Genomic DNA, 14295 nt, shown 5'->3' with positions numbered 1-14295 from the left:
CAGTTAGAATATACTTCAAACCCCTTTCCATGGTTAGCAGGTCCTTGTCAATCCTTCCAGCCTCCTCTGCCTCCATTCTCCCACTTCTGACCACACTCCCTTCATTCTGGGCTTCTCTTCTGCTCCTTGAACATGCCATGTTTTTCCCGCCACTGGGACGTTACATTGTTGTCCCTCTGCCTGGGACTCTCTGCCCCCGATCTTCACTGAGCTGCCTCTTTATCCCTCAAGCTTCAGCTCCAATGTCTTCCCCACCAAAAGGCTTCCCAGAGCCCTCTACCTAAACCACCAAGGTTTCCTGCCTACCAGTCTCTCTATCTCACCTCTCTGGTTTTTGTTTATTTGCTTTTACAGCACTTACCAATATCACAATTTGAAATTTTATTTTTAAAAGCTTGTCCATAGTTTTATTGTCCATCTCTCCCCTCTGGCCCATAAGACACTATGACGCCAAGGCCTTGTTTTTCTCATTCATTGCTCTATCCCTAATGCGAAAACAGTGCTAGGTTCTGTTCATCTAGGTGCACAATAAATGCTTATTCAATGAATGAATGAGTTGATTACAGTTTCAGGACTTCCTCTTGCATGTCCCCATGGTTTTCAGATATGGCCATGTGTATCTAAAATGTCACCCAGAGAATACTATATTGTCAGAATTATAGACATGGAACACCTTCCCAAAGACTTCCAGACCATTGAAACAGCCATCAGACAAACTGCCACAGTTTAACTCAGCCTACCAATTGGCTTCTTCATTGTCTGCTTCCACATCTACTTTTCCCACCAGGTTTTTTGTATCTGTTTATAATTACTCTGAGAAAGGAAAATATGATGTCCCTTCTCCCCGTGCTGGTTCTGTTTTCCTTTGTAAGCACACAGAACTGTGTGAACATCTCAGATGAGCATCATAGAGTTTTTCTCATAAGCCCATCTAATAAGCAGCAGATTTCCCTGACTTCTTGCGTCTTCATTATATAAGGAGGTATTTTCCATTTCCCTTGGTGGAGTCTGTATCTCATTTTCACTTTTTACCTTTGGGCTTGAAAACTCTAAATTTCTTTGAGGTTTGTTTGGGACTCTGCCCTGCCTCTTGCTCATCTGTCTTATTTGGGTTTCAACTCACCAGAGCATTTTGAGCTTTATTCTATCAGATAGATTTCCTTTTGTCTTTTCCACTTTTTGTTGACGTTGGGTGTTTATTTCTTTATCATTAATATAGTTTCCTACATAATCATCCATAGATCCAAATAGGTCCCTTCAGCCTTTATACTTCTATTCCAGAGAATTTTAAGATGAGTCCCCTACAACTGTGAAAGCAGTCCTTTCCCCATTTAGTTTCAGATTTAAAGTGAATCATCTCTTTCCATTCCCTGTGGTCTAAATCTGATCAGTTTAGCATCACTTGCCTTCCTTACACCCTCAAATCTGTCCTGATGGAAGAATTAGCTCAAAAGGGCATGCACCTCATCAGATGCTGAAAACACACCACACTGGTCTTATTTTCCTGGGTAAGAAATCATAGTCAGTCTTTGCCAAAATGTCTTTGCTTTTTATCCTTTTCTGCCTTAACCCAGAAGTTCAATCCTCTCTGCTTTCACTTGTTTCTTGAGTTGGTGATTATGGGCAGCCATACATTGGCCTTGGCGATAAATCATTCCGGCTCCTCTTTCTTGTTGCTCGATATCCAGGAATGTACTGTACCAGATGAATGTCCAGCTGCTTAGACGTCACTCTTATTTATTGCACTTTCATGCTGGCTTCTCTGCATCCTTCAGTAGTCTATGAGCTCCTTCTGGCAGACACTGTATTTTATTGATCTTTATTTCTCCAGCAGCTAGCATAGTGCTCACCTCACAATAGATTCTTAGTAAATATTTAGAGACTGCTGAATGAATATCCCATGATCCCTTACCTTACAAGCCGAGAGACACAATACCCAGGTACACAAGACTCTTAATGAACATGGAAAGAGAACATACAGGTAAGTGTGCAGTGTGGTTCAGTAAGTGTTCAAAGACAGGAAATAAATAAGAGCTCGTAGAGTTTTAGAAGGCTTTGTAGAGAATGTAAGACCTAAATTTGACCATTAGAAAAAAGAGAGCAGCATTGAGGAAGTGACGAGGGCGCTTAAATTTTCCACTCTGTCCCTCTCAAGTTTTCTCATGGGAATGCCTTTGTTTTTCTTTTCCTCTTATCATAGCATCTCCGTCACTGGGTCACCTGCAGTCTTCTCTTCCACCTTTACCAACCTGGTCTAAAAATCCTCTTATAGTGCTTCTCTGTGCAACCCTATCTTATTTTTTAGCCCAGCATGGAGTATCAAGGGCTCTGATGGACAATACAAGTTTTGTCTCCTCTTCCGAAACTCCCTTGGGCCACTCTCACAGCCTAGTGTACTAACTGAGGCTGCCCCTCAGGAAAAACCAGGTTGTGGGGTAATTAGGTCATAGGAAACACTGAAACCAGAAGATTCAGCTGGAGACTAGGCTAAAATTCATAAATACAGATTGGCCTGGCTTGAACTCACAATAGGCTAATTTTAGATCTGTGGATTTGGTCTAGCAGAACAGTGACAATTATATCCTTTCTCTAAACGTTTTGCCTCCACTGGCTTTGGAAGCATTTCTTTTCTATCACTGAGTCATTCAATAGCCATATAATTGTTATGTCCATTTCCCTGGCTCTAACAGGTTTGGGAGCCAGTTACCTTTCCCAGTTCATTAACCGACTGGCCTTCGCATTAACAGCCCCTCCATCGGGGGTTGCCTTGGAGACAAAGCTTCCTGTGGGTAATCCAAGATTATCTAGCTCTTTGTCCTACATGTGACCCTTAATTACTTGCTAAATTAGAATGGTTTTCTGAAAATCACAAGCGGAGGTTAATATGTTCTTCCAGAGCTGGTCAAGCTAAGATGACACTGAATTCACAGGGAATTCAAGTTACATGATCCCTGAAGGCGTCTCTTTGAGTAAGAAGATGAACTCTCCCCCTGGGAGGCACTGCCCCCCCATAAAGCCCCTGTCACTCACTGTCCCTCCGCCTGCTTTTCTAGTTGTGGTTTAATCTTCTCAGGACGATTCACTATGTCAATATTGAGCAGATTCATTCTGGTGCAGGATCCTGTATCCATTTGTCTTTGATAACTAGTTGCTTTAAATTTGAGTACATATTTATATCATAATTGCAGGTTTTTACTCTTTATTTACACAATTACAAGGCTTCATGTACCCATGTGGGACAGGCAAGGGAACTGAAGAAGCTATTAAAATACAGAAAGTAAACACTTTGGGTAAAAGAGTTTGAGCACTAGAGTGTCCTTCCTAACATTTGATAGGCCTCAAAGGGAGATTAGTAGAAAGGGGAACTCTTAGAATGCCCTTAATGAGCTGCCTCTTCAAATGCTTTTTGGAAGTAAGTTCTATATAAGTAATGCAGATATTGAATGAGAATTTCATTAGCAATCATAAATGTAGCTTTACTTAAGATGTTTAGTTATCTAGACTATAATGAAGCTACTGAGTAGAGTTCCAGAAGTTAAAAAAGAAAAAAACAGCAACAACAAAAAAAAACACTGTCTTAAAATTTAAAATATTATGGACAGATCTCAACATTAAAGTATCAAACTAATAATGGTATGTAGCCTGGAATCTCACAGGGATCCTTCCAAAAAGTGTTTAGGAAACCAAACTGAATGGGCTCGTGTTAGAAATAAACATAATCGGTGATTTAACACCTCAAATCATTCACTCAGATTTCCGAAGGAGTCGTTGGCAGATTGCTACAAACCTATTCAATCCAGAGGCTTGACTGAGTACGTATAAAGCTTTGAGTGTTTGTGGTTATATTCAACTGTGTGCCACCTTTAGAAATATTTAAGCATCTATGGTGTATAAGGTGTCATATAGCCCCCATTTTGTTGACCTGTAGTCATCTAAGTAGAAATTAGCAGAGAAGTCCTATGAAAATCACTTTATGACATTTGGTCACATCTATCATTACATATGTGTAGCACCAGAAAATTGACTCTGCCTGTAACATACTTAAATTAGCATCAGAGTACATTTCTTTTAGAGGAAATTTTGGTAAATCCTAGAGTGGTTACCGAGGAAAACTGAGATTGTCTTTGATATTGTTTTAAAGTAGTTTCATTCAGCATTTTCTGAAGTATGATTCTGAAGATAAAAGTCCTGCAGCATGTTAATAAGTGTTACACAAAAAGGATTCTGTGATTAAATAAACTAGGGGAAATGTTGTATTAAAACGAAGTTACTTTTTTAAAAATTTAATTAATTGTTACCACTGAAGAATTTCCAGGAGCTTTTAACACTTAAACGTGCACTATGAAAATTCAAGTCTCCTAAATGTATTTACTTACATAATTTCCGTTCTCATAGTACCCCATAGCATCTCCTGGAAGCAGCGAGTTCTAAGCAGCACACTCTGGGAAACACCTTTATATATATTTCTTAGCCTGCTTTGGCTAATAGGTGCAGATATAACCAATAAAAAAATTGATGATTCAACATCCCAATATCACACCCTCAAAACCTAACTTCAAAAAGATTGTTGAACTCCTTGTTCAATTCTTTTTTTTTTTTTTTTGAGACGAATCTCAGTCTGTCACCCAGGCTGGAGTGCAGTGGCGCGATCCAGGCTCACTGCAACCTCCGCCTCCCGGGTTCAAGCAATTCTCTGCCTCAGCCTCCCAAGTGACTGGGATTACAGGCACCTGCCACCATGCCCGACTAATTTTTTTGTATTTTTAGTAGAGATGGGGTTTCACCATCTTGACCAAGCTGGTCTTGAACTCCTGACCTTGTGATCCACCCACCTTGGCCTCCCAAAGTACTGGGATTACAGGCGTGAGCCACTGCGACTGGCCTGTTCAATTCTTTTGATAGTTTATGTCTTTCTGTTAATTCAGTGATTTCTACTAACTCCCACCTATAGGAGATTGTATAATTACTCCAAATATTTGCTGCCCCTCCCTGTGATTGGATTATATGTCCCTGCCCCATTGCTGTCATGTGACCTCTTTGGGCCAACAGACTGTGAATAAAAATGACATGTGCTGCCTCTGAGCAGAAGCTCAGCAGTCATGGTGTGGCTCTGCCATGTTCTTTCTTCTGCCTGAGCAGCCCTTCCACTTCATTTGGCTGCTTCTTTACTTGTGTCCCAGAAGGAAGATGTGGAACAAAGCCTCACTGGCTTGCAATCAACATGTCACATGTATGAGAAGCATAGGCTTGTGCTCGTAAGCCACCACTTCCTGTTCCCCATTCAGCTCCTTCCCAGGAACAAGGGAGATAGTGATGCTCCTTCCGAGGAATAGATGATGCTTTTCCTGCCTCATTACCTTTACTCATGCCGTTCCCCTGGCTGGAAGCCCCCTCCTGACCCTGGCTGTCTTTAAAACTCGCCCTCATCTTTTTAAAGCTCAACTGAAATATCACCTCTATGATAAAAACATTTTTGATCGCCACCCCTGCCAAGGTAGCATTGATCATTCTCTCTCTTTTTATGCCCCCACTGTACCCTGTACCAATTTCCAAATTTCCGGGTGCAAAGCTTCACCTGGGAGCTTGTTGATGAGATCCCTGCGCACCTTGTCCTACTCCAGTATGGTTCAGTGGGGTCTGGGGTTAGGGACCAGGAACCTGGGTTTTAAGTAAGCAATCCCATGTGATCTGATCAGTCTGTTCCAAGGACACTACCTTGAGAAGCACTGTCACTGGAACACCAACAGCACCTTTGGCACACTTTGGTTTGCATACCTGTCTACATCTACTAGACTGTGTCCTCCAAGCAGAAACCAAGTCTTGTGCAGCCAAAGCTCCTAGATTGGCTCATGGTAAAGTCTCAGTAAAAGTTAAGTGAAATACACACCACAATTTGTCAAATTGAAAACTTTCATACTATCAAGGATCAACAGAAAGATAATTGCTCCTTTGTAAGCAGAACACACTAAAATAAAGCACAACGTAATGCCACCCCTAGGAATCAGGCATATTTTTTCCATATATAAATAGACTATCATTGTCAACAAGCTCTTCTGTTTTTCACTTTTCCCTAGAGAAGCACAGTCTATGAGCTCCCTTAGTAACCCATTCCAATATTTTGCCACCATTTTTTTAAATAGGCAATGCTTTCTTTACCTGAACTTAATTCTGAAGTTTTAAACTACGTATCTCATTCAGGACTTAAGCAGCAAAGATAAGGAGTGATTTTCATAACAGAGAATGTTTCTGTAAGGAATCAGTTTTAATTTTGAAAGGACTACACTGAGACGGTGTCATTGTAGTGGCTGTTTATAGTTACCTCCCTGCAGAGTGAGGTCAGGCCACAAAGGGTGTGCTGGTTAGAGATGGGTGAGCATGAACAATTGGACTTTGCTGATGTTGCTTTCACTACCAGTCCAACAAACAGGTTTTACCAAGAATACAAGACATAAGAACTCAAATGAATGACTACAGCTTCCCAGTTCTCCCTAAGCTCCTCATGCATATATACATGAAGATCAGCAATCTGTGCAACCCTTTGGGAACAAAGATGGCACTAGCCAGAGAGTCTCACTAGGACAGAGAGTCCCAAGAGCTTCAGGTGAGGGAGGGACTACTCCAGCTCTCAAGGATTTACATACCAACATAGAAAACATGTCCTGCTATACTTAAGTTACCTGCTTTCCTGTTCTATTTCTCAAGGTATTATTGGGCCTAAGGCAGGCCTATCTCATCTTCCTTCCCAACAGTCCTCCAGTTTGTGTTTGGAGATCCGTGAAGTTAAGAAAGGCTATCGTTAACCTTGTACAAAAGGAGGAGCAAGTAACCTTGGCCAAGTCAGTCATCACATTCTATTCCCCTGCCTTCGTGATTATTTCAGGGAAAGACACATGATCTAAGCAGTCCATGAAGAGTGAACTTCAGAACATTTTAGGGAGTGATAAGTCAATCTGCTCTTTCTTCGTTAGATGTTGTGATGTAGAGATGCGAAGTCTGGAAGTGCTACAGTCATTTTGCTATCATCAGAGTGTGCCTGGAGATGAAGCTGACACATGGAGGAAAGCAGAGGCTGAAACTCTGATCCAACTGTACCTGACGCTGAGCCCACCTCAAGTCTTTTTTACTTATATGAGCCAATACCCTTTATTGCTAAAGCCAATTTGATTTGGGTTCTCTATATTGCCACTACAATCACCCAAATTGGTATAGGTCTTAATCCCAACAAGTGGAACTTTGTTTAAAACAGGATGCTGTCAGATCAGGTAAACTCCTCAAAGTATGAAATGTTACATAGGAGATCTGGCAAGATGGCTGAATAGGAACAGCTCTGGTCTGCAGCTCCTAGTGAGACCAATGCAGAAGGCGGGTGATTTCTGCGTTTCCAACTGAGTGGTGCCTGGAACCCCAGCAAGACAGAACCGTTCACTTTCCTGGAAAGGGGGCTGAAGCCAGGGAGCCAAGTGGTCTTGCTCAGCGGTTCCCACTCCCATGGAGCCCAGCAAGCTATGAACCACTGGAATGAAATTCTCGCTGCCAGCACAGCAGTCTGAAGACAACCTGAGATGCTCAAGCTTGGTGGGTGGAGGGGTGGCCGCCATTACTGAGGCAGGAGTAGGAGGTTTTCCCCTGACATTGCTAAGGAGGCTGGGAAGTTCGCACTGGGCAGAACTCACCACAGCGTGGCAAAGCAGCTGCGGCCAGACTGCCTCTCTAGATTCTTCCTCACTGGGCAGGGCATCTCTGAAAGAAAGGCAATAGCCCCATTCAGGATCTTGAAGATAAAACTCCCATCTCCCTGGGACAGAGCACCTGGGGGAAGGGGTGGTTGTGGGCACAGCTTCAGCGGACATAAACTTTCCTGCCTGCCAGCTCTGAAGAAAGCAGAGGATCTTGACAAGGAGGATTCTCTTAGCACAGTGCTAGAGCTCTGCTAAGGGACAGACTGCCTCCTTAAGTGGGTCCCTGACCCTCGTGCCTCCTGACTGGGAGAGACCTCCCAGCAGGGGTCGACAGACACTTCATACATGAGAGCTCCTGCTGGCATCAGGCTGGTGCCCCTCTGGGATGAAGCTTCCAAAGGAAGGAGCAGGCAGCAATCTTTGCTGTTCTGCAGCCTCTGCTGGTGATACCCAGGCAAACAGGGTCTGGATTGGACCTCCAGCAAACTGCAGCAGACCTGCAGAAGAGGGGTCTGACTGTTAGAAGAAAAATTAACAAACAGAAAGCAATAACATCAACATTAACAAAAAGGACCCCCACACAAAAACCCATTCAAGGGTCATCAGCCTCAGAGATCAAAGGTAGATAAATCCACTAAGATGAGGAAAAAACACTGAATATCATCATCTTGAGGATAAATCCACTAAGATGAGTGCAAAAATTCTGAAAATTCCAAAAACCAGAATGCCTCTTCTCCTCCAAATGATGGCAACTCCTCTCCAGCAAGGGCACAAAACTGGATGGAGAATGAGTTTGACGAACTGACAGAAATAGGCTTCAGAAGGTACGTAACAACAAACTCCTCTAAGCTAAAGGAGCGTGTTCTAACCCAAAGCAAGAAGCTAAGAACCTTGAAAAAAGGTTACAGGAACTGCTAACTAGAATAACCAGTTTAGAGAAGAACATAAATGACCTAATGGTGCTAACTAGAATAACCAGTTTAGAGAAGAACATAAATGACCTGATGGAGCTGAAAAACACAGCATGAGAACTTCGTAAGGCACACAATACCCAAATCGATCAAGCAGAAGAAAGGATATCAGAGACTAAAGATCAACTTACTGAAATAAGGTGTGAAGACAAGATTAGAGAAAAAAGAATGAAAAGGAACAAATGAAGCCTCCAAGAAATACGGGACTATGTGAAAAGACCAAACTTACGACTGATTAGTGTACCTGAAAGTGATGGGAAGAATGGATCCAAGTTGGAAAACACACTTCAAGATATTATCTAGGAGAACTTCCCCAATCTAGCAAGACAGGCCAACATTCAAATTCCACAAAGATACTCTGCAAGAAGCAGCAGATACTCTGCAAGAGAGCACCACAAAGATACTCTGCAAGAAGAGCAACCCCAAGACACATAGTCATCAGATTCTCCAAGGTTGAAACGGAGGAAAAAAATGTTAAGGGCAGCCAGAAAGAAAGGTTAGGTTACCTACAAAGGGAAGCCCATCAGATAACAGCAGAAACTCTGCAGAAACCCTACAAGCCAGAAGAATGTGGAGGCCAATATTCAACACTCTGAAAGAAAAGAATTTTCAACACAGAATTTCATATCCAGCCAAACTAAGCTTCATAAGTGAAGGAGAATTAAAATCCTTTAGAGACAAGAAAATGCTGAGGGATTTTGCCACCACCAGGCCTGCCTTACAAGAGCTCCTGAAGAAAGCACTAAATATGAAAAGGAAAAACTGGTACTAGCCACTGCAAAAACACACCAAAATATAAAGACCAATGACACTATGAAGAAACTGCATCAACTAATGTGCAAACTAACCAGCTAGCATCATGATGACAGGATCAAATTCACACATAACAATATTAACCTTAAATGTAAATGGGCTAAATGCCCCAATTAAAAGACACAGACTGGTAAACTGGATAAAGAATCAAGACCCATCAATGTGCTGTATTCAGGAGACCAAACTCACACATAGGCTGCAAAGACACACATAGGCTCAAAATAAAGGGATGGAAGAATATTTATCAATCAAATGGAAGGCAAAAAATGCAGGGGTTGAAATCCTAGTCTCTGATAAAACAGACTTTAAACCAACAAAGATTAAAAAAGACAAAGAAGGGCATTACATAATGGTAAAGGGATCAATTCAACAAGAAGAGCTAACTATCCTAAATATATATGCACCCAATACAGGAGCACCCAGATTCATAAAACGAGTTCTTAGAGACCTACAAAGAGGCTTAGACTCCCACATAACTATAGTGGGAGACTTTAACACCCCACGTCAATATTAGACCAATCAACAAGAAGGAAAATTAACAAGGATATTCAGGACTTGAACTCAGCTCTGGACCAAGCAGACGTAATAGATATCTACAGAACTCTCCACCCCAAATCAACAGAATATACACTCTTAGCATCACATAGCACTTATTCTAAAATCGACCTCATAATTGGAAGTAAAACACTCCTCAGCAAATGCAAAATAATGGAAATCAAAACAGTCTCTCAGACCACAGTGCAATCAAATTAGAACTCAGGATTAGGAAACTCACTCAAAACTGCACAACTACATGGAAACTGAGCAACCTGCTCCTGAATGACTACTGGGTAAATAACGAAATTAGGGCAGAAATAATGAAGTTCTTTGAAACCAATGAGAACAAAGAGACAACATACCAGAATCTCTGGGACACAGCTAAAGCAGTGTTAAGAGGGAAATTTATAGCACTAAATGCCCACATCGGAAAGTGGGAAATATCTGAAATTGACACCCTAAATCACAATTAAAAGAACTAGAGAAGCAAGAGCAAACAAATTCAAAAGCTAGCAGAAGACAAGAAATAACTAAGATCAGAGCCGAAATGAAGGAGAAAGAGCCGAAATGAAGGAGAAAGAGACACGAAAAAAACCCTTCAAATAGATCGATGAATCCAGGAGCTGATTTTTAAAAAACATTAACAAAATAGACTGCTAGCCAGACTAATAAAGAAGAAAAGAGGGAAGAATCAAATAGACACAATAAAAAATGATAAAGGAGATATCACCACTGATCCCACAGAAATACAAACTACCATCAGAGAATACTATAAACACCTCTACGCAAATAAACTAGAAAATCTAGAAGAAATGGATAAATTCCTTTACGCATACACCCTCCCAAGACTAAGCCAGGAAAAAGTCGAATCCCTGAATAGCCCAATAATAAGTTCTGAAATTGAGGCAGTAATTAATAGCCTACCAATCAAAAAAAGCCCAGGACCAGACAGATTCACAGCCGAATTCTACTGGAGGTACAAAGAGGAGCTGGTATCATTCCTTCTGAAACTATTCCAAACAATAGAAAAAGAGAGACTCCTCCCTAACTCATTTTATGAGGCCAGCCTCATCCTGGTACCAAAACCTGGCAGAGACACAACAAAAAAGAAAATTTCAGGCCAATATCCCTGATGAATGTCGATGTGAAAATCCTCAATAAAATACTGGCAAATCGAATCCAGCAGCACATCAAAAACTTATCCACCACGATCAAGTCAGCTTCATCTCTGGGATGCAAGGCTGGTTCAACATACACAAATCAAGAAACCTAATCCATCACATAAAGAAAACCAATGATGAAACCACATGATTATCTCAATAGATGCAGATAAGGCCTTCGATAAAATTCAACACCCCATTCATACTAAAAACTCTCAATAAAATAGACATTGATGCAACATATCTCAAAATAATAAGAGCTATTTATGACAAACCCATAGCCAATATTATATGGAGTGGGCAAAAGCTGGAAGCATTCTCTTTGAAAACTGGCACAAGACAAGGATGCCCTCTCTCACCGCTCCTATTCAACATAGTATTGGAAGTTCTGGTCGGGGCAGTCAGGCAAGAGAAAGAAATAAAGTGTATTCAAAGAGGAAGAGAGGAAGTCAAATTGTCTCTGTTTGCAGATGACATAATTGTATATTTAGAAAATCCCATTGTCTCAGCCCAAAAACTCCTTAAGCTGATAAGCAACTTCAGCAAAGTCTCAGGATACAAAATCAATGTGCAAAAATCACAAGCATTCCTCTACACCAATAATAGACAAGCAGAGAGCCAAATCATGAGTGTACTGCCATTCACAATTGCTACAAAGAGAATAAAATACCTACAAATACAACTTACAAGAGACATGAAGGACCTCGTCAAGGAGAACTACAAACCACTGCTCAAGGAAATAAGAGAGGACACTAACAAATGGAAAAACATTCCATCCTCATGGATAGAAAGAATCAATATCATATAATGGCCATACTGCCCAAAGTAATTTATAGATTCAGTGCTATTCTCATAAAGCTACATTGACTTTCTTCACAGAATTAGAAAAAACTACTTTAAATTACATATGGAACCAAAAAAGAGCCTGTATAGCCAAGGCAATCCTAAGCAAAAAGAACAAAGCTGGAGGCATCATGCTACCTGACTTCAAACTATACTACAAGGCTACAGTAACCAAAATAGCCTGGTATTGGTACCAAAACAGATTTATAGACCAATGGAACAGAGCAGAGGCGTCAGAAATAACACCACACATCTACAACCATCCGATCTTTGACAAACCTGACAAAAGCAATGGCAAAAGGATTCCCTATTTAATAAATGGTGCTGGGAAAACTGGCTAGCCACATGCAGAAAACAGAAACTGGACCCCTTCCTTACACCTTATACAAAAATTAACTCAAGATGGATTAAAGACTTAAACAAGACCTCAAACCATAAAAACCCTAGAAGAAAACCTAGGCACTACCATTCAGGACATAGGCATGGGCAAGGACTTCATGACTAAAACACCAAAAGCAATTACAACAAAAGCCAAAATAAACAAATGGGACCTAATTAAACTAAAGAGCTTCTGCACAGCAAAAGAAACTATCATTAGAGTGAACAGGAAACCTACAGCATGGGAGAAAATTTTTGCAATCTATCCCTCTGACAAAGGTCTAATATCCAGAATCTACAAGGACTTAAGCAAATTTACAAGAAAAAAAAAAAAAACCCTGTCAAAAAGTGGGCGAAGGATATGAACAGACACTTAACAAAAGCTAAAATTGACAAATTAGATCTAATTAAACTAAAGAGCTTCTGCACAGCAAAAGAAACTATCATCAGAGCGAACAGGCAACCTACAGAATGGGGGAAATTTTTTGCAATCTATCTGACAAAGGTCTAATATCCAGAATCTACAAGGACTTAAAACAAATTTACAAGAAAAAAAAAACCATCAAGAAAGAAGGATATGAACAGACACTTCTCTAAAGAAGACATGTATGCAGCCAAAAAACATATGACAAAAAGCTCATCATCACTGGTCATTAGAGAAATGCAAATCAAAACCACAAAGAGATACCATCACACTCCAGTTAGAATGGCAATCATTAAAAAGTTAGGAAACAACAGATGCTGGCGAGACTGTGGAGAGATAGGAACGCTTTTACACTGTTGGTGGGAGTATAAATTAGTTCAACCATTGTGGAAGACAGTGTGGCGATTCCTCAAGGATCTAGAACCAGAAATACCATTTGACCCAGCAATCCCATTACTGGGTATATACCCAAAGGATTATAAATTTTTCTACTATAAAGATACATATACACGTATGTTTAGTGCAGCACTATTTATAATAGCAAAGACTTGGAACAAACCCAAATGCCCATTAATGACAGACTAGATAAAGAAAATATGGCACATATACAACATGGAATACTATGCAGCCATAAAAAAGAATGAGTTCATGTCCTTTGCAGGGACATGAATGAAGCTGGAAACCATCATTCTCAGCAAACTAACACAGAAACAGAAAACCAAACACTGCATGTTCTCGCTCATAATTGGGAATTGAACAATGGGAACACATGGACACAGGGAGGGGAACATCACTCACACACTGGGGCCTGTCGGTGGGGGTGGGGAGCAAGGGGAGGGAGAGCCTTAGGACAAATACCTAATACATGCAGGGCTTAAAACCTAGACAATAGGTTGATAGGTGCAGCAAACCACCATGGCACGTGTATACCTACGTAACAATCCGGCACATTCTGCACATGTATCCCAGAACTTAAAGTAAAATAAATTTTAAAAAAGGAGAAATGTTGCATAGACCTCAGGGATGCTTGGATCCCAGTTCTATGAATGAAATGTTATATAGGAACTCAAAATCACAGAGGATAAAAAAGAATATTAGGTCATTAACAGCTCACCATGGATTAGGTTTCTGGCCTTTCATGGGGTGAAGAAGAATGCTTTAGGGTCCTGGGTGTCTAGAGCAACAGATAATAAAAACTAGTAGACTTGCTGACTCTTATCTATCAACAATGTCCAGTTGCTTTACCATATTACACATGGTAAATATTCACAATGGGATCGTGCTCTTTCTTTGTAGCCATTTTTAATTGAACCCTGCCAAAGGGCTTCAACTGGGTTCAATATTTTAATATGTTTACTTTTAAATATCTGAAGTTAATATGGAAAGCTGCTAAAATGTTTGAAACAGGATTGTGTTTCATTATCTCTGTGATTTCCTTCAAGTTGAAAACATTGTAAAATCAAAAAAAAAAACACAGGAGTCTTGCCTTC

The sequence above is a fragment of the Homo sapiens genome, chromosome 18, assembly GCF_000001405.40.
Source record: "Homo sapiens chromosome 18, GRCh38.p14 Primary Assembly".
NCBI classification, from domain to species: Eukaryota; Metazoa; Chordata; class Mammalia; order Primates; family Hominidae; genus Homo; species Homo sapiens.
The sequence above is the reverse complement of the archived record's forward strand: the minus strand, read 5'-3'. Positions refer to the sequence as shown.